The sequence below is a fragment of the Homo sapiens genome, chromosome 14 (assembly GCF_000001405.40).
Source record: "Homo sapiens chromosome 14, GRCh38.p14 Primary Assembly".
Taxonomy (NCBI): Eukaryota; Metazoa; Chordata; class Mammalia; order Primates; family Hominidae; genus Homo; species Homo sapiens.
Window position 1 is genome coordinate 76,976,497 of NC_000014.9, and position 21,194 is coordinate 76,997,690.

At 49.1% G+C, this 21,194-nt stretch overlaps 10 annotated features.

Moving 5' to 3' along the window:
* Nucleotides 1,479–1,608: an enhancer, noted in NCBI's record as "active region_8783". NCBI's record gives its function as "activates an Ori minimal core promoter by ATAC-STARR-seq in GM12878 lymphoblastoid cells {active_cell/tissue: GM12878}" and the evidence as "EXISTENCE:reporter gene assay evidence [ECO:0000049][PMID:35858748]".
* Nucleotides 1,479–2,057: a biological region, named in NCBI's record as "H3K4me1 hESC enhancer GRCh37_chr14:77444395-77444896".
* Nucleotides 1,556–2,057: an enhancer, noted in NCBI's record as "H3K4me1 hESC enhancer chr14:77444395-77444896 (GRCh37/hg19 assembly coordinates)". NCBI's record gives its function as "activates a minimal SCP1, AML or CMV promoter by ChIP-STARR-seq in naive H9 embryonic stem cells {active_cell/tissue: H9 hESC(naive)}" and the evidence as "EXISTENCE:reporter gene assay evidence [ECO:0000049][PMID:30033119]".
* Nucleotides 4,150–4,649: an enhancer, noted in NCBI's record as "H3K4me1 hESC enhancer chr14:77446989-77447488 (GRCh37/hg19 assembly coordinates)". NCBI's record gives its function as "activates a minimal SCP1, AML or CMV promoter by ChIP-STARR-seq in primed H9 embryonic stem cells {active_cell/tissue: H9 hESC(primed)}" and the evidence as "EXISTENCE:reporter gene assay evidence [ECO:0000049][PMID:30033119]".
* Nucleotides 16,837–17,337: an enhancer, noted in NCBI's record as "H3K4me1 hESC enhancer chr14:77459676-77460176 (GRCh37/hg19 assembly coordinates)". NCBI's record gives its function as "activates a minimal SCP1, AML or CMV promoter by ChIP-STARR-seq in primed H9 embryonic stem cells {active_cell/tissue: H9 hESC(primed)}" and the evidence as "EXISTENCE:reporter gene assay evidence [ECO:0000049][PMID:30033119]".
* Nucleotides 17,338–17,838: an enhancer, noted in NCBI's record as "H3K4me1 hESC enhancer chr14:77460177-77460677 (GRCh37/hg19 assembly coordinates)". NCBI's record gives its function as "activates a minimal SCP1, AML or CMV promoter by ChIP-STARR-seq in primed H9 embryonic stem cells {active_cell/tissue: H9 hESC(primed)}" and the evidence as "EXISTENCE:reporter gene assay evidence [ECO:0000049][PMID:30033119]".
* Nucleotides 18,556–19,064: an enhancer, noted in NCBI's record as "H3K27ac-H3K4me1 hESC enhancer chr14:77461395-77461903 (GRCh37/hg19 assembly coordinates)". NCBI's record gives its function as "activates a minimal SCP1, AML or CMV promoter by ChIP-STARR-seq in primed H9 embryonic stem cells {active_cell/tissue: H9 hESC(primed)}" and the evidence as "EXISTENCE:reporter gene assay evidence [ECO:0000049][PMID:30033119]".
* Nucleotides 18,556–19,066: a biological region, named in NCBI's record as "H3K27ac-H3K4me1 hESC enhancer GRCh37_chr14:77461395-77461903".
* Nucleotides 19,017–19,066: an enhancer, noted in NCBI's record as "active region_8784". NCBI's record gives its function as "activates an Ori minimal core promoter by ATAC-STARR-seq in GM12878 lymphoblastoid cells {active_cell/tissue: GM12878}" and the evidence as "EXISTENCE:reporter gene assay evidence [ECO:0000049][PMID:35858748]".
* Nucleotides 19,107–19,246: an enhancer, noted in NCBI's record as "active region_8785". NCBI's record gives its function as "activates an Ori minimal core promoter by ATAC-STARR-seq in GM12878 lymphoblastoid cells {active_cell/tissue: GM12878}" and the evidence as "EXISTENCE:reporter gene assay evidence [ECO:0000049][PMID:35858748]".

The window sequence follows — 21,194 nt, forward strand, 5'->3', positions numbered from 1 at the left end:
TGGCCCCAGGCCCTCTCCCAGGGAGGGGCAGGGTGCCAGTCGGGAGGGCTGGCTGGATGAGGATTGCACGCTGCCCTGAAACGTGGCCAGGGCCATCATGACATGGTCACAGACTGTTGGAGTTGGAAAGGCCTCTCATTTCACTGGCAGAGAAACTGAGGCCCCAGGAGACTTGGCCAAGGCCTCACAGGTGGTGAATACAAAATTGGGACTCACACCCTGCTGCCTAACTGGAAAGGAGAAGATCTCCTGGGCCAGCCCACCTTACAGCCTTTCACTGGGAGCCCTGGGGAGAGCCAGTTTCCTGGCCTGGCAAATCTGTTGCTAGAGCAGTTTTCTGGAAAACCACATGAATCTATCGCAGGCCTTCCTGTGCCCCCACCTAGTCTGATCACTTAGGGCTGGCTCTTAGCTCTTCCAGGCCTCCTTCAAGGTCTCTCAGCATCAAAATCACTGGGCTGTTTGATTAAAATGCAGATTCCTGAACCCAGCCTACCATTCCAAATCCAAATCTCTGAAGACGGAGCCAGGAATCTACCTTTTTATCCAATACCCTCTCCTCTAACCCTCTCTACAACTACCCTCAGCCAGCTTCCCAGACTTATCTGGTGTCCTGTTTAAAATGTAGGTCCCAGGCTGGGCACAGTGGCTCATGCCTGTAATCCCAGCACTTTGGGAGGCCGAGGCAGGCGGATCACTTGAGGTCAGGAGTTTGAGACCAGCTTGACCAACAATGTAAAACTCCATTTCTACTAAAAATACAAAACTTAGCCGAGCGTGGTGGCGTGCACCGGTAGTCCCAGCTACTCAGGAGGCTGAAGCAGGAAAATCGCTTGAACCCGGGAGGCAGAGGTTGCAGTGAGCCGAGATCGTGACACTGCACTCCAGCCCGGGCAACAGAGCAAGACTCCATCTCAAAAAAAAAAGAAAAGAAAAAAAAAAGTAGGCCCCAGACCACTCCTCCAGGGTCTGCCTCAGTATAGCTGAGGTCAGGCCTGGGAGTCTATTTTTGCAAGCATCCTTGCCAACTCTTGGGGAAATGCTGTTTCCCCCTTTGCTTTGAGGTTCCTAATGAGAATTCTAGGAGGGTCCACAGATGGCCTGGGTAGTAGTAGCTCAAGATTGTGTGGAGGAAGATTTTCCTAGGATGGGGGCCCCAACTCTTATAAATTCCTGGAAGAGGTCCCTGACCCCAGATAGGAGTGTCACAAGGAGCCTGGATCCTAGAGTGATGTTTGGAGAGGAGGGAACCTGGAGTGGGGTGTCCTTTTGGATCAGACATGGCTGGAAGCCTGAGTTCTAATCTCCCTTAGCCAGTGCCAACACCCCAGTCCTGCCTGAAGGCTGAGCCCAAATCTGGACAGTGTATCCAGACAGTGTATCCAGTTCAACCACCCTACCCTATCTCCACCAGCCCATGCCTCCTCCTCCTCTTCCTCTTTCTTTCTCCTATAACCTCCCCCGTCCTTCACTGCCCGTCCCCTCCCCACCCTCATCAGCTTCCTCCATCAGCAGCCATGTAAGGGGTAGGCCGTGCACAGGCCCGCCACTGCTCTCCTGGAGGGGAATTTCAGAGGCAAACCCGTGACTGCGTCGTCATCACGCTGAGCTTAGGTCTGGGGTGGCCCGGGGAGAGGAGCTTGTGTAAGTTGTGTGGGTGGAGGTGGGAGGGAGGCAGGGCTCTGATGTCAGAGGCTCCGACTCAACAAGCAGGTCAGCCCTTTCCTGCTAGGAGCCAGCCTCAGCCCCTCAGCTCACCCTCACCCCTCTAGCAGCCACACCTCCTGTGGATGTGTAGACAGGACACATGGAAGGAAAGCAAACTGTCACTCTCCACTGAGTAGCACTGGACAGTGCTACTGGTGTCTCCACCCCAATAAGAGATAGATGGCCAGGTGATAATGATGCCCGGTCTTAGTTCATTTGGGCTGCTATAATAAAATACCATAAAATGGTATTTTATAAAATGGCTGGCTTATAAACAACAGAAATAGATTTCTCATGGTTCTGGGAAGTCCACAGTCAACGTGTCGGCAGATTCAGTGTCTGGTAATGATCAGCTTCCTCTGAAGCCATCTGTTTTTTGTTTTTTGTTTTGTTTTTTTTTTTTTTTGAAACGAGGTCTCACTCTGTTGCTCAGGCTGGAGTACAATGGCACAATCATGGTTCACTGTAGCCTCGACCTCCCAGGCTTAAACAATCCTCCTTCCTCAGCCTCCTGAGTAGCTGGGACTAGGGGCACATGCTGCCACAGCTAGTTTTTTGTTTTGTTTTGTTTTGTTTTATCTATTTTTTTGTAGAGACGAGCTCTCCCTATGTTGCCCAGGGTGGTCTCAAACTCCTGGCCTCAAGTGATCCTCCCGCCTCTGCCTCCCAAATTTGCTGGGATTACAGGCATGAGCCAACATGCCTGGCCTAAAGCCATCCCGTCTTTATTTATTTATTTATTTATTTATTTATTGAGACAGAGTCTTGCTCTGTCGTCCAGGCTGGAGTACAATGGCACGATCTTGGTTCAAGATCAGATTCCTTGCCTGGGCACGGTGGCTCACGCCTGGAGTCCCAGCACTTTGGGAGGCCGAGGCAGGAGAATTGCTTGAGGCCAGGAGTTTGAAACCAGCCTGGGCAACAGAGCAAGACTCTGTCTCTAAAAAAAAAAAAAAAAAAAAAAAAAAAACCGGGTGTGGTGGCTCATGCCTGTAATCCCAGCACTTTGGGAGGCTTAGGTGGGCGGATCACGAGGTCAGGAGATCGAGACCATCCTGGCTAACACGGTGAAACCCCATCTCTACTAAAAATACAAAAAATTAGCCAGGTGTGGTGGCGGCGCCTGTAGTCCCAGCTACTCAGGAGGCTGAGGCAGAAGAATGGCGTGAACCCACGAGGCGGAGCTTGGAGTGAGCCGAGATCACGCCACTGCACTCTAGCCTGGGCGACAGAGCGAGACTCCATCTCAAAACAAAACAAAACAAAATAAAACAAAAAAAAAAATTAGCTGGCAGTCTTGCTTCGAGCCTGTGGTTCCAGACACTCAGGAGGCTGAGGTGGGAGGATCACCTGAGCCCAGGAGGTCGAGGCTGCAGTGAGCCATGATTGCACCACTGTACACCAACCTGGGAATAAAAGCAAGACCCTGTCTCAAACAAAACAAAACAAAACAAAACAACAAAGAAGTTCACATTCCAGATCATGACCTTGGGCAAGTTGCTCTTTGTGTCTCAGCACCCTCATCTGTAAAATAGGGAAATAACCCCAACCTCACAGGGCTGTCGTGAAGATTAAGTGAGTACTTGGCACCTAGTCAGTGTATATAAGTGTTGAGTGGTTATTATAATTTGTGGTATTTCTAGGACAGAAATCTGCTTAGAAGAGGAGATGGTCTTCCTTTTCTGAGATGGCGTTTCACTCTTGTCACCCAGACTGGAGTGCAATGGTGCAATCTTGGCTCACTGCAACCTCCGCGTCCCAGGTTCAAGCGATTCTCCTGCCTTGGCCTCCCAAGTAGCTGGGATTACAGGCATGTGCCACCACACCTGGCTAATTTTTTGTATTTAGTAGAGGAGGGGTTTAACCACGTTGGTCAAGCTGACCTCAGGTGATCCAATGCCTCAGCCTCCCAAAGTGCTGGGATTACAGGCATGAGCCACCACGTCAGGCCCAGGTTAGGCATTCTTAGTGACAGGATGAGACAGGAGGTCAGAACAAGAAACAGTTCACAAAGACCCTCCTGATAAAACACGATGTGGCAAAGAAGCTGGCTAAAACTCACCAAAACCAAGATGGTGACCAAAGTGACCTCTGGCCATCCTCACTGCTCATTATACACTAATTATAATGTATTAGTATGCTAAAAGACACTTCCACCAGCCCCGTAACAGTTTACAAATGCCATGGCAGCGTCAGGTCAGGAAGTTACCCTATATGGTCTAAACAGGGGAGGGACCCTTAGTCCCAGGAAATCCCCACTCATGAATTATTCACCCCTTATTTAGCATATAATCAAGAAATCGAGATGATCTTCTTAATGCCTCTCAAATTATTTCCAAAAGTGCCTGTCTGTGTGGAAGTTCCCTTCACAGGCCAGGGCTAGTCGGGCAGCACAAGGGGCCAAGGCCCATGCCTGGGGTCAGGCAGGCCCAGCCAGGTTGCTTGCCCTTTACCCATGCCTCTGCCTGGCCCTCCCATAGAGGGGCAGGGCAACCCAGGCCAACCTAGTGGCAGTATGAGCTGAGTGACTGTGGCCACCTGTGGAAACTGGTTTTGCAGCACCAGCCCCTCTCTTCTGTGTCCTTTCTTGCATCTTTTTTTTTTTTTTAAGAAGGAGTTTTGCTCTTGTTGCCCAGGCTGGTGTGCAATGACGTGATCTCAGCTCATTGCAACCTCCGCCTCCCGGGTTCAAGCGATTCTCCTGCCTCAGCCTCCTGAGTAGCTGGGATTACAGGTATGTGCCACCACGCCCGCCTAATTTTTTGTATTTAGTAGAGACGGGGTTTCACCGTGTTGGTCAGGCTGGTCTCAAACTCCTGACCTCAAGTGATCTACCTGCCTCAGCCTCCCAAAGTGCTGGGATTACAGGCATGAGCCAACGCGCCCAGCCTTATTTGTGCTGCCCCAATTTCTAGGAATTTATACACTCTGGGGACCAACCTCATCATGGGAATAAGAATTCAATTCTTCACGAAAATCATTTCCTCCACTGACACACTTTGTACAGACATAGGAATCTGACACACCTGGGTTTGCATCTGGAGTCTACCATTTACTGGCGAAGTAATATTGAACAAACTTTGGCTCTAGGAGCCTCAGTTTCTCCACCCGTAAAGTAGAAAACGTCATCTGTGCTTGCAGGCTTGTTGAGAAGATTAAATTAATCCAGCCATTTATTCCACAAATCCTTATTGAGTGCCTAACTGCACCTCACATTGAGGATACAGATATGATAACATGATAGACACAGAGGTGAGTCCACTTGCAAGGCACTCAGAGAGATATGGACCAACAGTGACCCCCAAATCCATGTTACTGATTGTGTTGAGGGACACAGAGGAAAAGTACTCAGGAGTAGTGGTGTGAGCTCAGTTTTGAAGGATAACTGGGTGCAATCTATTTCATCGAATCTAAGACTCTATTGATCATCCACACTATTATTTTAGATAACACTGAGACAAAAATTCAGCCAATTAACCTTAGAAATGTTATTTTGTGCTTACTGAAAGAGCTCTTTTGACCTTCTGCAGCCCCAGAGGAGTTTTCTCTCTCCCACCTAATTTAAAACAAAGAAGGATGTGTAGTGGCAGAGATCAGAATAGGGTAGAATCCAAGAGAAATCTACCTTGCCCTGCAGCAAGCTTTGCTGGGTATAAAATTCCTGAGTTTGTGGTTGGTAGGCTCCTGGGCTCTGACTCAGTGGAAAGAAGAGGTAGGACAAAGGGGTTATGTGGACCGGCCTGGGGAGAAGTGTGGGGAAGGGGTCCTGGCTGAGCAGTCACTACTGGGCTCAGTTTTTGGGGTGGCCAGAAGGAGAAGAGGCAAATGCCAAGCTGGGGGATTGTAAGACATCATCTCTAAAATGCATCCTGTGGTCAGAAATGTAAAGGGTGCATCTTCCCCAGGAGCAGGGAGCACCCTAGCTCCCAAATCTTGGTTTCCAAATGCCATTCTCCACTAAAAGGAACTAGGGGACTTTGGAGAATAGCTAATTCCCTGAGGTTGGCTCAGGGAAAATACAAGTGATCCTGGAACATCTTGTGCCAGAAAGTGAGAAGGTGCTAAAATAAAATAAAATAAAATAATAAAGCCAGGTACAGGGGTGCGTGCCTGTAGTCCCAGCTATTCAGGAGGCTGAGACAGAAAGATTGCTGAGGTCAGGAGTTCGAGGCTGTAGTGCACTATGATCACACCTGTGAATAGCCACTGCACTCTAGCCTGGGCAACATAGTGAGACCTTATCTCTAAAAAATATATAAATAAAAAATAAAATTAAATAGGCAGGTGTAGCAATGTGTGCCTGTAATCCCAGCACTTCAGGAGGCTGAGGCGGGCAGATCGCTTAAGCCCAGGAGTTTGAGACCATCCTGAATAACAGGGCAAAACCCTGTCTCTACAAAAAAATACAAAAATTAGCTGGGCCTGATGGTGCACACCTGTAGTCCCAGCTACTTAGAAGCCTGAGGTGGGAAATTCAGGCTTACGGAAGCCTCAACCTCCTGGGTTCAAGTGATCCTCCCACCTCAGCCTCCCAAGAAGCTGGAACTACAGGTGTGCACCACCACACTTGGCTTGTGTGTGTGTGTGTGTGTGTGTGTGTGTGTAGAGATAGGGTCTCACTATATTGTCCAGGCTGGTCTTGAACTCCTAGGCTCGAACAATCCTTCCGCCTCAGCCTCCCAAAGTGCTGAGATTACAGGTGTTTTCCACTGTGCCCAATATTTTTCTTCTTTTGCTGTAAAGGATATTAGCAGGATGGTTGGAGATGGTTGAATAAGGTCTGTACATCAGACAATAGAACTGTATGTAGCCATGCTAATTTTCTGATTTCAATAAATGTACTGTGGTTATTATATAAAAGAATGTCCTTGTTTTGAAGAAGAATGTATCAAAGTATTTAGGGATAAAGGTACACTTATCTGTCACCTACTCTCAAGCAGTTCAGAAAAAAAAAAAAAAAGGAAAGAAAAAGAGGCCAGGTGAGGTGGCTCACTCCTGTAATCCCAGAACTTTGGGAGGCTGAGGTGGGCAGATCACCTGAGGTCAGGAGTTCGAGACCAGCCTGGTCAACATGGTGAAACCTCGTCTCTACTAAAAATACAAAAATTAGCCAGGCGTGGTGATGTGCGCCTATAGTCCCAGCTACTGGGGAGGCTGAGGCAGGAGAATCACTTGAACCTGGTAGGTGGATGTTGCAGTGAGCTGAGATCACACCACTGCACTCCAACCTGGGAGACAGAGCGAGACTCCACCTCAGACAAAAAAATAAAAAGAATGAGTGAACACACACACACACTGTACATATAAAGAGGGAATTTGAGCTGGGTGCGGTGGCTCACACCTGTAATCCCAGCACTTTGGGAAGCCGAGGCAGGCGGATCAAGAGGTCAAGAAATCGAGACCATTCTGGCCAACATGGTGAAACCCCCTCTCTACTAAAAATACAAAAAAAAAAAAAATTAGCTGGGTGTGGTGGTACATGCCTGTAGTCCCAGCTACTCGGGAGGCTGAGGCAGGAGAATCGCTTGAACCTGGGAGATGGAGGTTGCAGTGAGCCGAGATCACGCCACCGCACTCCAGCCTGGCGACAGAGCAAGACTCCGTCTCAAAAAAAAAAAAAAAAAAGAGACAGAGGGAATTTGATTTTAAAAAGGTTTTAAAAAGATAAAAGAGAGAGATTGATAAAATGGTGGTATGCTGAAAATGTTTAACAACCAACTCTCTCAGGGCAAAAAAGCCCTGATACCAATTTCTGTGGTGTAAATACTCTCTGTGGCCAATTTAAAGCTGGCGCCATGAAGTCACTGAAGAGGGAGTTGGGAAGGAGATGCACAGAGATAGCTCTAGTGTTCATCACACCAGTACAAATGCAAACACGGTAGAAAGCTAACATTTGGGGAATCAGAGTAAAACAGAATATGAAGATTATTTGTACTATTTTTTGCAACTTTTATTCAGTCTGAACTTATTTCAAATAAAAAGTTAGGGTTTTTTTCTATGGCACATCTTGTAACTGATGAGATGCAGTAAATGAACTGGGGAAAGAGTACGTGAGCATTTCAGGTAGAGGCACCTGCCTTGACTGTGCAGAAGGCTGAGGCTGAAAGAAGCAATTCATTTGAAAAACAACAACACAAACAAAGCAGTCTGAGTGACTGGGAGCAGAGCAGCTTGGAACAGAGAAGTGCAAAGTGAGCAGAGAGGTGGGCTGGGGCCAGGACAGAGGCTCTGTAAGCCACAGCTGAGGGTTTGGGTCCCTCAGGGAGAAGCCATCAGAGTGCTTTAAGCAGTGGGTGGAGGGAATGTGGCCTTATTTGCGTTATCGCTCTGGCCCCTGGCTGACTCTCAATCAACAGTGGCCACTAATACTGCCTTTTCTGGTCTACTCTCTGCTGTCGCTTTCCCCAGGGTCCCTTTGCTCAACTGGTGTTAACAGGGGGCGGGGGTGGGGTGGGGGCCATGGCCACAGGCCACCAGGTGAGTCCAGAGCTTCCAGCACAGCCTCATTTTCTGTCCTCCCCACCCGCACCCCCTCAGACGTATTCGTAAGCCACAAAATAAGTGTGAGGAAGTCCAAGTTTGACATCCACCCAGGACTCTGCCCTCCCTGCTTAACTCAGCCCTGATCAGCCCTAAGCTGGTATGCCCTGGACTATTAAGCAAGCCCACTAACGTTTTGGAGAGGGGACTTGACTCTGCAGCCCTCCCCTCTGCACACCAGAGACCCACAGACCCACCCCCTCCTCCATCAGCTTCCTCCTACCCCTCTTGGTTTCTAGTCAAACCTCTCACTCTGGGAGTCCCAGAGCCCAGTGGGGCCTTGAGAGGGTTGAGTTCAAGGTGGAATGAATGGGCTGTTTGAGAGAGCTCTCCCAGGGCAATCTCCAGGCCTGGTACAGCTTGAGAGGCTACCGGCTTCCTTTTTCCCAGATGAATCCCTGTTCTGTATGCCTGTAACTATGTGCCCACCCCTAACATGCCCTGGGGCCCCGCATAACAGAAGTGGACTGGATATGTACACACAGCATGCTGGCCAGCTCCTCCTATGCAGAGAGCATGAACCCAGCCCAAAGTCACGAGCATTAACCGCATGCCACGTATTCCACTGGACATTATGATGCATTCTTTATCCAGCCTACTGTTAGAACAGCTCTGTGAGTGGACACAGTATTAGGTCCATATTGCAACTGAGGCTTGAAAGTTTTCTTGGAGTATCCAAGTTCGCATAGCTGATGCAGAGATTCAACTCAGGCCCTTTGACCGCCAAAGCCTGCATTTCTGCCCACAATACCACCCTGCCTCTGTCTGGCACAAGTTGCCCCTGTGCCATTGTCTCTCAGCCTGGGCATCAGTGCTGTGGGCATCCAGGCCATGTGGACAGGTGTACTGAGGGCCCTGTGCACCAGGAAGGGGTTAATTGGGATGCCCTCAGCAAGCTCTAGTTTGGCAACTGTTGCTATGGCAACAGCATGGTTTGGGGAAGAGGGAGGCCAGCACAGTAGGATCTTCTGAATCACTGGATGTACAGCCTATATGTTTATTCTGCAGCGAAACCCTCCCTGCATCTTCTGGGACTATATGTGGCCACTAGGGATGGCTGCGGCAGGCAGGGGTGAGGGCAGGGGTTCCCTGAGCAGGCAGAAGCTGGGAGGCCTTGGCACTGCTAAGGCCTCTCACCCAGGGGCTCTCACCAGCACAGCCCAGGGAGACTTTTCCACCAGGAAGGCCCAGGGATTCTGCTTTCAGCTGCAGCTCCCCAGACTAGGTGAAAACCAGGAAAGGGCAAAGATTTGGGGCCAAACGGAATCAAGCAATCATTCACTATTCACTGACTTACTCATTCACCAGATATGTATTGCTTGCTGACAATGCACTGATGGCTGTGCTGGGGGCTGTGGCCTGGGGTTATAGCTGGGAGCCAGACAGACTCTGCATCCGTGGAGATTCCCTTCCAGGGGGCCAGAAGTCCCCACCATATGCCCCACCTTGGGCAAGTCCCTCTCCTTTGCTGAGTTCATCTGTAAAATGGGGCCCACACTCCCCACTTTGCAGGGATGCAGCCTGGATGAGGTAACAGATTTGCGAACGCCCAACACATAGTGGACCAAATATGCAGACAGGACAAAAATGCCTGTAGGCCTCTCACCTCTCCCTCCAGCAACAGAAGGTGCCAGACAATGATAAAACTCATGAGTGAGGAGCCCCAGGCTCTGGACCCTGGAGGCTTACTGTGAGCAAAATCTCCAGACCGAGCCAGACAGACAGATCCAGCTCTTCCATCACTGGGCATGGGCCCTGGCTTCAGTTTGCCTATTTGTAATGCGGGTGATCCTCCTGTCCTTATAGACAGTAATGTACCTGAGCTGATGGGCAGCATCCAAGTGGGTTCTTGACCATTCTGTTCCACCATCTGAGCCACCCACAGGTCAGAAGAGCCCAAGGCCACCAGATAATAAGACCCCAGTACTGGCCTTCCCGTCCAAGCCAACTTGTTTTTTGCCTACAACATGGACCGCAGTAGCTGTCTGTTGATTTGATTCAAGTTTGATAGCCACCCAGGACTCTGCCCTCCCTGCTCAGCTCAGCCCTGATCAGCCCTAAGCTGGTATACCCTGGACTATTCAGCAAGCCCACTAACCTTGGTGAGAGGGGACTTGACTCTGCGACCCTCCCCTCTGCACGCCAGGCCAGTTTCCATGAAAGGACCCCCTGGGGTCCTCAAGCTCAGCCCTAGAACCACCCTCCTCACGTCCAGCACCAGGGCAGGCCTGGTGGAGGCAGGAAGGCCAGCTGGGGGTGAGGGCTGATCACAGATAAGAGCAACATGCAAACAAAACCCACAGGAAGGAAGCCAGCGAAGGAGAAAATCATTTAAGAATTTCATATTGGCTGGGTACGGTGGCTCACGCCTGTAATCCCAGCACTTTGGGAGGCCGAGGTGGGCAGATCACAAGGTCAGGAGATGGAGATCATCCTGGCTAACATAGTGAAACCCCGTCTCTACTAAAAATACAAAAAATTAGCCGGGCGTAGTGGCGGGCGCCTGTAGTCCCAGCTACTCGGGAGGCTGAGGCAGGAGAATGGAGTGAACCCGGGAGGCGGAGCTTGCAGTGAGCTGAGATCTCGCCACTGCACTCCAGCCTGGGCGACAGAGCCAGACTCCGCCTCAAAAAAAAAAAAAAAAAAACAATTTCATATTGAGGTCGGGTGCGGTGGCTCACGCCTGTAATCGCAGCACTTTGGGAGGCCGAGGCGGGCGGATCACGAGGTCAGGAGATCGAGACCATCCTGGCTAACACGGTGAAACCCCGTCTCTAAAAAAAAAAATACAAAAATTAGCCGGGCGTGGTGGCGGGCGCCTGTAGTCCCAGCTACTCAGGAGACTGAGGCAGGAGAATGGTGTGAACCCGGGAGGCAGAGCTTGCTATGAGCCGAGATCGCGCCACTGCACTCCAGCCTGGGCAACAGAGCAAGACTCCATCTCAAAAAAAGAAAACCAAGAATTTCATATTTGATATTTCAAAAAATAAACAACTTCAAAGCTGTCATCATGGGAAAATTCAAAATGTTGAAGGGCTTCCTCACACTTATTTTGTGGCTTAATATTGATTTCATTTTGTACTATTCATGGGGGTGGAGATGCCCTAATCTTTTCAGAGCTAACTGCCTTTAAAAGTCTTAATCAAGACCTGGGAAATGGAAGTGGGGCGCACAGTTGGTGGGCCCCCCTCAAGTCTGTTCTGTGTGACAGCTTCATCCCTGGAGGGCGAGGAGGGAAGATGTTTTTCGTCTTGCCGCTGTCTGACACCAAAGGAGGCAAGATTAAGCTTGGTTGGAGGTGGTGCTAATGAGTTACTCAGGATTTTCTTCTTCTCTCACCAATCTTGAATTTCCATCTCCCCAGTTGGGTGTCAGGGTACATATTTATACCAGGACAGGGCTTACAGTGGCTGTCATTTGTTTATGAAATTCTTTCCAGAAGGACAGTGGGCCACAGGAAGGTAGGGTAGAGAGCTGCAGGGAGGGCAGAGGAGCCACAGAGATCCAGGAGCTTCCAGCCAGGCCAGCCCCTAAACTGGAAAATTGTTAACATAGGATTCAGCCAATCCAGAGGAGAAAAGGACAGGCAGACCTAGCAAACACATTCCCCTGAGGGGAAGTCACAACACCTGGGCAGCAGAAGAATGTCCGTGAGGAGAGAAGGAAAGGGAGTCCTGAAGGAATATAAGCTTTTCTTTTCTTTTTTCTTTTCTCTTCCCTTCTCTTCTTTTCTTTTCTTTTATTTCTTTTATTTTATTTATTTATTTTTTTTTTGAGACGGAGTCTCTCTCTGTCGCCCAGGCTGGAGTGCAGTGGCACAATCTCGGCTCACTGCAAGCTCCGCCTCCCGGATTCAGGCCATTCTCCTGCCTCAGCCTCCCGAGTAGCTGGGACTACAGGCGCCCGCCACCATGCCCAGCTAATTTTTTTGTATTTTTAGTAGAGACGGGGTTTCACTGTGTTAGCCAGGATGGTCTTGATCTCCTGACCTCGTGATCCGCCCGCCTCTGCCTCCCAAAGTGCTGGGATTACAGGTGTGAGCCACCGCGCCCGGCCTTTCTTTTATTTTTTAATTGAATTTATTTTATTTTTGAGACAGGGTCTCTCTCTGTCACCCAGGCTGGAATGCAGTGACACAATCTCTGCTCACTGCAACCTCTGCCTCCTGGGCTCAAGCCATCCTCCCACCTCAGCCTCCCAGGTAGCTGGGACTATAGGCATACAGCACCATGCCCGGCTAATGTTTGTATTTCTTGTAGAGGCGGGGCTTTGCCATGTTGCTCAGGCTAGCGTCAAACTCCTGGCTTCAAGCGATCCACCCATTTCGGCCTCCCAAAGTGCTGGGATTACAGGCATGAGCCACTGTGCCTGACCTCTTTTTTTTTTTTTTTTTTTTTTTTTTTTGAGACGGAGTTTCACTCTTGTTGCCCAGACTGCAGTGGAACAGCATGATCTTGGCTCACCACAACCTCCGCCTCCTGGATTTAAGCGATTCTCCTGCCTCAGCCTCCCGAGTAGCTGGGATTACAGGCACGCACCACCATGCCCAGCTAATTTTGTATTTTTAGTACAGATGGGGTTTCTCCGTGTTGGTCAGGTGAGTCTTGAACTCCCGACCTCAGGTGATCTGCCCGCCTTGGCCTCCCAAAGTATTGGGATTACAGGCGTGAGCCACTGTGCCCAGCCCAGCCTCTTTTTTTTTTTTTTTTAATGGACTTCATCTTTTAGAGCAATCTGGCAAAATTAAGAAGAAAGTACATGGATTTCCTATATACCCCCTGTCCCCACACGTGCATCGCCTCCACCATGCCATTATCAACATCCCTGACCAGAGGGGTGCATTTGTTATGATTTGTGAACCTACACGGATGCATCATCATCAGTGAGGTCCATAGTTTACATTGGGGTTCACTCTTGGTGTAGTACATTGTATGTGTTTGGACAAATGTACAATGGCTTGTATCCATCATCATAGTATCCTACAGAATAGTTTCATTGCTCTAACTGATCTTTTTGCTGTCTCCATAGTTTTGCCTTTTCCAGAATGTCATATAGTTGGAATCATTCAGTAGGTAGCCTTTTAAGATTGGCTTCTTTGGCCTGGCCAGGCTCGGTGGCTCATGCTTGTAATCCCAGCACTTTGGGAGGCCGAGGCGGGCAGATCACAAGGTCAGGAGTTCGAGACCAGCCTGGCCAACACTGTGAAACCCTGTCTCTACTAAAAACACAAAAATTAGCCGGGCGTGGTGGCGGGCGCTTGTAATCCCAGCTACTAGGGAGGCTGAGGCAGGAGAATCGCTTGAACCTGGGAGGTGGAGGTTGCAGTGAGCCGAGATCATGCCACTGCACTCCAGCCTGGGCAACAGAGCTACACTCCATCTCAAAAAAGAGATTGGCCTCTTTCACTTAATAATATGCTTCTTTCTTTCTCTCTTTCTTTCTCTTTTTTCTTTCTTTCTCACTCTCTTCCTCTTCTCCTTTCTCTCTCTTTCTCTCTCTTCCTCTCCTCCTCTCTTTCTCTCTCCATTCTTTCCTTCCCTCCCTCCATCCCTCCTTTCTCTCTCTCCCTTCCTTCCTCTCTCTCTCTTTCTTTTCTTTTCTTTCTCTTTCTTTTTCTCTTTCTCTCTCTCTTTCTTTTCTTTCTCTTTCTTTCTTCTCTGTCACCCAGGGTGAAGTACAGTGGCACAATCATATACAGCCTAGAATTCCTGGGCTCTAGCAATCCTCCTGCCTTGGCCTCCCAAAGTGCTGGAATTACAGGTGTGAGACATCATGCCCAGACTAGCAATATGCTTTTAAGATTTCTCCATGTTTTTTCATAACTTGGTAGTGAAATTCTTTTTGGCCCCAAATAATATCCTATTGTCTGGATGTCCCACAGTTCATTCACTCATTCACCTACTGAAGGATATCTTGGTTGCATCCAAGTTTTGTCAATTATTAATAAAGCTGCTATAAGCATTCGTGTGCTGGTTTTTGTGTGAACTTAAGTTTATTTGAGTAACTACCAAGGAGCATGATTGCCAGATCATATAGTAAAAGTATGTTTAGTTTTGTAAGAAATTGCTGAACCTAGCCGGGCGCAATGGTTCACACCTGTAATCCCAGCACTTTGGGAGGCCAAGGCGGGTGGATCACCTGAGGTTGGGAGTTCAAGACCAGCCTAACCAACATGGAGAAACCCTGTCTCAGCTAAAAATACAAAATTAGCCGGGGTGGTGGTGCATGCCTGTAATCCCAGCTACTCGGGAGGCTGAGGCAGGAGAACTGCTTGAACCCGGGAGGTGGAGGTTGCGGTGAGCCAAGATCATGCCATTGCACTCTAGCCTGGGCAACAACAGCAAAACTCCATCTCAAAAAAAAAAAAAAAAAGAAAGAAAGAAATTGCCGAACTTGAGGCTGGGTGTGGTGGCTCACACCTGTAATCCCAGCACTTTGGGAGGCTGAGGTGGGTGGATCACTTGAGGTCAGGAATTTGAGACCAGCCTGGCCAATATAGTGAAACCCCACCTCTACTAAAAATACAAAAATTAGCCAGGTGCTGTGGTGCGTGCCTGTAATCCCAGCTACTAGGGAGGCTGAGGCAGGAGAATCACTTGAACCCAGGAGATGGAGGTTGCAGTGGGCTGAGATCGTGCCACTGCACTCCAACCTGGGCAACAGAGTGAGACCCTGTCTCAAGAAAAAAAGAGAAAGGAATTGCCACACTGTCTTCAAATGTACCATTTTGCATTCCCACTGCAATGAGTGAGAGTTCCTGTTGCTCCACATCTTCACCAGCATTTGGTGCTGTCAGTGTCCTGGATTGTGGATATTCTAACAGATGTGTGGTAGAATCCCAGTGTTGTTTTAATTTGCACTTCCCTAAAGATATATGACGTTGCTGGGTGTGGTGGCTCACACCTGTAATCCCAGCACTTCGGGAGGCCAAGGCGGGCGGATCACCAGAGGTCAGGAGTTCAAGACCAGCCTGGCCAAGATGGTAAAACCCTGTCTCTACAAAAAATTAGCCAGGCATGATGGCGGGTGCCTGTAATTCCAGCTACTTACAAGGCCGAGGCAGGAGAATCGCTTGAACCCAGGAGGCAGAGGTTGCAGTGAGCCAAGATCGTGCCATTGCACTCCAACCTGGGTGAGAGAGCAAAACTCCATCTAAAAAAAAAAAAAAAAAAGATATATGATGTTGAACATCTTTTCATATGCTTACTTGCTATCTATATATCTCCTTTAGTAAGGTATCTTCTTTGGGTCTTTTGCTCATTTTTTAAATCTGGTTGTTTGTTTTCTTATTGTTAAGTTTTAAGAGTTCATTGTGTGTATATATAATTTTATTTTTTTTTTGAGCCAGGGTGTCACTGTCACCCAGGCTCGAGTGCAGTAGTAAAACCCTGGCTCACTGCAGCCTCGACCTCCCCCGCTCAAGTGATCCTCCTGTCTCAGCTTTCAAGTAGCTGGTACTACAGGCCAGCGCCACCATACCCAGCTAATTTTTAAAATTTTTTGTAGACAAAGGGTCTCACTGTTACCCAGGCTGGTCTCCAACTCCTGGGCTCAAGCAATCCTCCCGCCTCAGCCTTCCAAAGTGCTGAGATTACAGGTGTGAGCTACTGCATCTGGCCCAAGTTCTGTGTCTATCTCGGATGACAGTCCTTTATCAAATATGTCTTTTGAATATTTTCTCTCAGTCTGTGACTCCCCTTTTTATTTGAGTGGATGGTTCCAGTCCCTGATTGAGCCAGACTATTATACAGAGTCCAGCCATTTCTACTTAACTCAGGACTCCTCCTGTTGGGCCAGCAGAGACCTTGTCAGATCTGCACCATGGTCTGATTGCTCCCCTACCCAATCCGGCATCCTCCCTGTTCATGTCATAGGGGCCACTCCCCACTGAGCCCTATGCACTCCTAACTCCATCTCAGTGCCAGCTTCAGACCTAAGGGACCTAGTGCTGGGGAGGAACTAAGTCGGAGTGATAGGATGGACATGGATTGGGGGTGCCACTTTATTTATTTTATTTTATTTATTTATTTTTATTTTTTGAGACTGAGTCTCGCTGTTGTCGGCCCCGGCTGGAGTACAATGGTGCAATCTCAGCTCACTGAAACCTCCACCTCCCGGGTTCCAGCAATTCTCCTGCCTCAGCCTCCCTAGTAGCTGAGATTACAGGTGCCCGCCACCATGCCCGGCTAATTTTTGTACTTTTAGTAGAGACGGAGTTTCACCATGTTGGCCAGGCTGGTCTTGAACTCCTGACCTTAGGTGATCCACTCACCTCAGCCTCCCAAAGTGCTAAGATTATGGGCGTGAGCCACTGCACCCGGCCTATTTATTTATTTATTTATTTGCTTTTATTATTTTATTTATTTATTTATTTATTTATTTATTTTTGAGACAGAGTCTCCCTCTGTAGCCCAGGCTGGAGTGCAGTGGCGCGATCTTGGCTCACTGCAACCTCCGCGTCCCGGGTCCCGGTTCAAGCAATTCTCCTGCCTCAGCTTCCCTAGTAGCTGGGATTACAGTCACGCACCACCATGCCCAGCTAATTTTTGTATTTTTAGTAGAGGCAGGTTTTCACCATGTTGGCCAGGCTGGTCTTGAACTCCTGACCTCATGATCTGCCTGCCTCGGCCTCCCAAAGTACTGGGATTAAAGGCGTGAACCACCGCGCCCGGCCTATTTATTATTATTATTATTATTATTATTATTATTATTATTATTATTATTTGAGATTGAGTCTTGCTCTGTCGCCCAGGCTAGAGTGCAGTGGTGAAATCTTGGCTTACTGCAAACTCCACCTCGTGGGTTCAAATGTTTTTCCTGGCTCATCCTCCCGAGTAGCTGGGATTACAAGCATGCACCACCAGGCCCAGATAATTTTTGTATTTTTAGTAGAGACAGGATTTCACCATGTTGGCCAGGCTGCTCTCGAACTCCTGACCTTAAGTGATCCACCTGTCTTGGCGTCCCAAAGTGCTGGGATTACAGGCATGAGCCACCGCGCCTGGCTGGGGGTGCCAATTTAAACCTGGGGGTCAGGGATGCCCCCACTGATGATGCCATCATGTTGAGCTGAAACCTGAGGGCAGGACACCACCCAACAGCAAAGGAGTCCAAGAGAGGAAACAGCAGGTATGAAGGCTCTTGATGTCTGGCTGAGGCATGGCGTGCCCGCCCAGAGAGTGAGAGGAGAACAGACAGCAAAGCTTCAAAGTGGAGGCACATCCTGCAGGCCACTGTCACAAGTTTGATTTATTCCAGATGCAATGGGAAGCCACTGGAGTGTTTTCAGCCTTAGAGTGACATAATCTGATTTGCATTTTTTTTTTTTTTTTTTTGAGACAGAGTTTCACTCTTGTTGCCTGGGCTGGAGTGCAATGGTGCGATCTCGACTCACCGCAACCTCCGCTTCCCAGGTTCAAGCGATTCTCCTGCCTCAGCCTCCTGAGTAGCTGAGATTACAGGCATGTGCCACCATGCCCGGCTAATTTTGTATTTTTAGTAGAGACAGGGTTTCTCCATATTGGTCAGGCTGGTCTCGAACTCCCGATCTCAGGTGATCTGCCCGCCTTGGCCTCCCAAAGTGCTGGGATTACAGGCATGAGTCACCGCGCCTGGCCCTGATTTGCATTTTTAAATGCTCTCACTGGCTGCTAGGTGGAGAATGAATTACAAAGAAGCAAGAGGGGAGGCAGCCAGACCAGTTGGGTGTTTTATTGCTTTGGTTAATAGGAATATCCCAGCCCAACAACTTCTCTCCTGCAAAGACAATCACTGTCACAGTAGCTGGAGTGATAGTCACATGCACACTCACTGCAAACACACACATGTGCCTCATGTCCCCTCGACTCGTAACCACCCACACTCTCCTGCACACCTGTGCACATGTGTGCCTCCATGTTCCTGACACGCCTACTTAAACACACAGCACCATGCATGTTTCATGCACATGTGCTCCCATGCATGGCATCAACAGAAATATTTTCATGCACACATAAGTATATATATTCCTTTTATTTTATTTTATTTATTTATTTTTTTTAGATGAAGTATTCTATTGCCTAGGCTGGGGTGCAGTGGCATGATCTCATCTCACTGCAACCTCTGCCTCCCTGGTTCAAGCGATTCTCCTGCCTCAGCCTCCCAAGTAGCTGGGACTACAGGCGCCCATCATCACACCTGGTTAATTTTTGTATTTTTAGTAGAGACAGAGTTTCCACCATGTTGGCCAGGCTGGTCTCAAACTCCTGACCTCAGGTGATCAGCTCGCCTCGGCCTCCCAGAGTGCTGGGATTACACGTGTGAGCCACTGCACCCGGCCCCTATATTCCTTTTATATACTTCCTCACATATACATGAAATACTTTCATGCACACACACATATAGCTATACACATACACACAGAGCCACACTTTGCTTCATAGACATATCATTTCCCATTTTCCAAAGGGAAGCAAGTCTGAGTGTGGGAGGTGGCTGGGAAAAAGGGGCTAGGGGGTTAATGAGAGGAAGAGGTAACAGCTACTTAGTCATTGGAGAAATACAATGCCTGAACACCTATTTTACTCTATATTGCACCTGATGGTTGGGCCTGCCAGTTATTATGGGGACTACACTAAAGCCTTCATTCAGCAGGTTGGGGGTGGGGGGCCTGCTCTGCAGCTCCTCTTCACTCAGCCACTGCCACCCACCTGCTCACCCGCCACTGCCTGAGTCAGCTTTCACTATTCTCCTGATGACTTACAGGGCGTGAAGGGTTGAGGGGGGTAGGGAAGGTGGGAATCTGCCCCCAACTGCCTGGGAAGCCCCACAGCTCACAGAAAGGAGGAGATTGGAAGGTCTGTCCTTTCAGGGCCTCACTTGCCGAAGCAGGGAGAGGACAGGCTGGGGTGGGGTGGGTGCTGCTTTGGGAAAATCCAGGCCCCTTTTCAAGGCCCTGTAGGACCTGTCCCCTGTACTCCCCCAGCCCCCAGCCAGTTCTGCTCCAGTATCTCCTCCCTTCCAGCTCTGAGCCCCAGCCATGGTGCTGCCAGCAACCAGCAGCTCTTCAAACACACACCTTCAGAATCTTGGCATATGCTGCCCTTACCACACCACCTGGAACAGCTTCCTTATCCTTCCTGTCTCAGCTTAGGAGCCACCTCCTCAGGAAAGTCCTCCCTGATTGTCCCACCATGCCACCCCAATCAGAGGTCCCCCTGTGCTTGCCTCCACTTAGCACTTTACTGCACTGGGTTATGCCTGTCTGCCCTTCACAACAGAGAGCACGTCTATTTCCTGCACTTGCTGCCTGGCACATGGCAGGTACTCAATAAATGTTTCTTAACTAAATGAAGGTCGCTCCTTTGTGCAACTAAAACTAGAAAGGAGGATTTGCGGGGAAGGATTCCTTGGTCACTCCCATCTTCTTGGTTGCCCCAGGGACCACCTGCTGATCACCAAGACTCCAGCACTCGTCATAGGACGCCTATGGCATGGTTTCTCTTCTATCTCTTCTACCTTCAGCCAACTCTGGTGTGTGTCGCTGGAATAATATCAGGCCCCCTGAGGTGGGGCAGGAGATAATGGGGGAGGCTTGGGGAGTGGCGTAACATGGAGTTGAGAAATTCAAGTTACTATATGAGATTCGAGTTACTATGTGAACGCGGGATTGGGTGTGCGTGCATCTGTGTGGTGTACCTGTGCTGGCAGGGAGGATCAGACTAGGCATTTGGGGATTGAAATGAACAGAGGTCACAGCAGAAAGACATTGAAACAATCTAAATAGGGCTAAAGCAGTTTGCTGATTAAAAGAGAGGGCTTGCCAGGCATCCACCCTGCCTAGAAGCCTGTGCTGAACCAGGAGAGGTGACTCCATGACTCAGGACCTGGGCAGTGCTGATGGGAATGGATCCTGGCCTTTTTGACCCCAGCAGAATCCTGCTTCCCTTCCCAAGGAGCAAAAAAATATAAAAAGGCATAGCTATTATTGAGTAATGCTGCTGCCCAGGCTGCACTGGGACAAACATCACTAATCAATCACGAGTGCACCCATCACCTCCAGGCCAGAACAAGGTGTCGGAATTCTCAACACAGTGCTCCCAAGAGCCATTACTGATAGCTTGGGATCCACATAAGTGGATCACTGGTCTCCTAAGTGTCAAGTGCTTAATAAATCCATGGCACAACCTATCCCTGAGTTAAGGATTAACTTTTACTTCTGAAAAAGAACAAAAACTCAGCATGGTTGAGGAATTCAGCCAAGTTCACACAGGTAGTAAGAGCTGGGCTAAGAATTTAGACCTTCCTAGGCCTGGCTTCCAATTCCTTGCTCTTGAGCATTTATCATGCTGCCAGCTTCCAATGGGCATCTGTTCCACCATGTTGTGGGCATTCATTGGAGCTTTGTTGCTTCTCACTGTTAAACCCTCCTGTATAATTCTGGGGTCCCAGCAGAAAACAGATGTTACCCTAAAATAGGGCAATTGAAGGATCTTTCAAGAAGGGACAAGTTGTAAAGGTGGGCAGCACAAAGGGAAACCAACAAAAAATGATGAAGACCTGGTGGGACAGGGACAGAGTGACTGGATGCTGGAGAGACCCAAAGCTGCAAAGGAAAGGAGCAAGGGGAACAATACCCCACCCTCTCCCCTCCCACCTCCCACCTCCCACCTCCATTCTTCTCCAGTGGTGCCGCCCATTGGGCAAACCCAGCCAGAAGCCAGGAAGCATGAGAGTTCAGCTGATGCAGCCCATACAGATCAGCCTCCTGGACTTCAGAGTGGGGGAGGGTGAGAGGGATGAAGTCTGGAGGCACCAATTGGGAAGGCCATCCAGAATGCTCCTATTCTGTTTGGGAGCTGGGGATGGGAATGTCCCTTCCTGAGGGGTATTTATGGAATAAATCAAATCAAATCACAGAAATCAAATCACAGAAATCAAAGCTGGAGATTCTCTCTCCCTCTACTTGC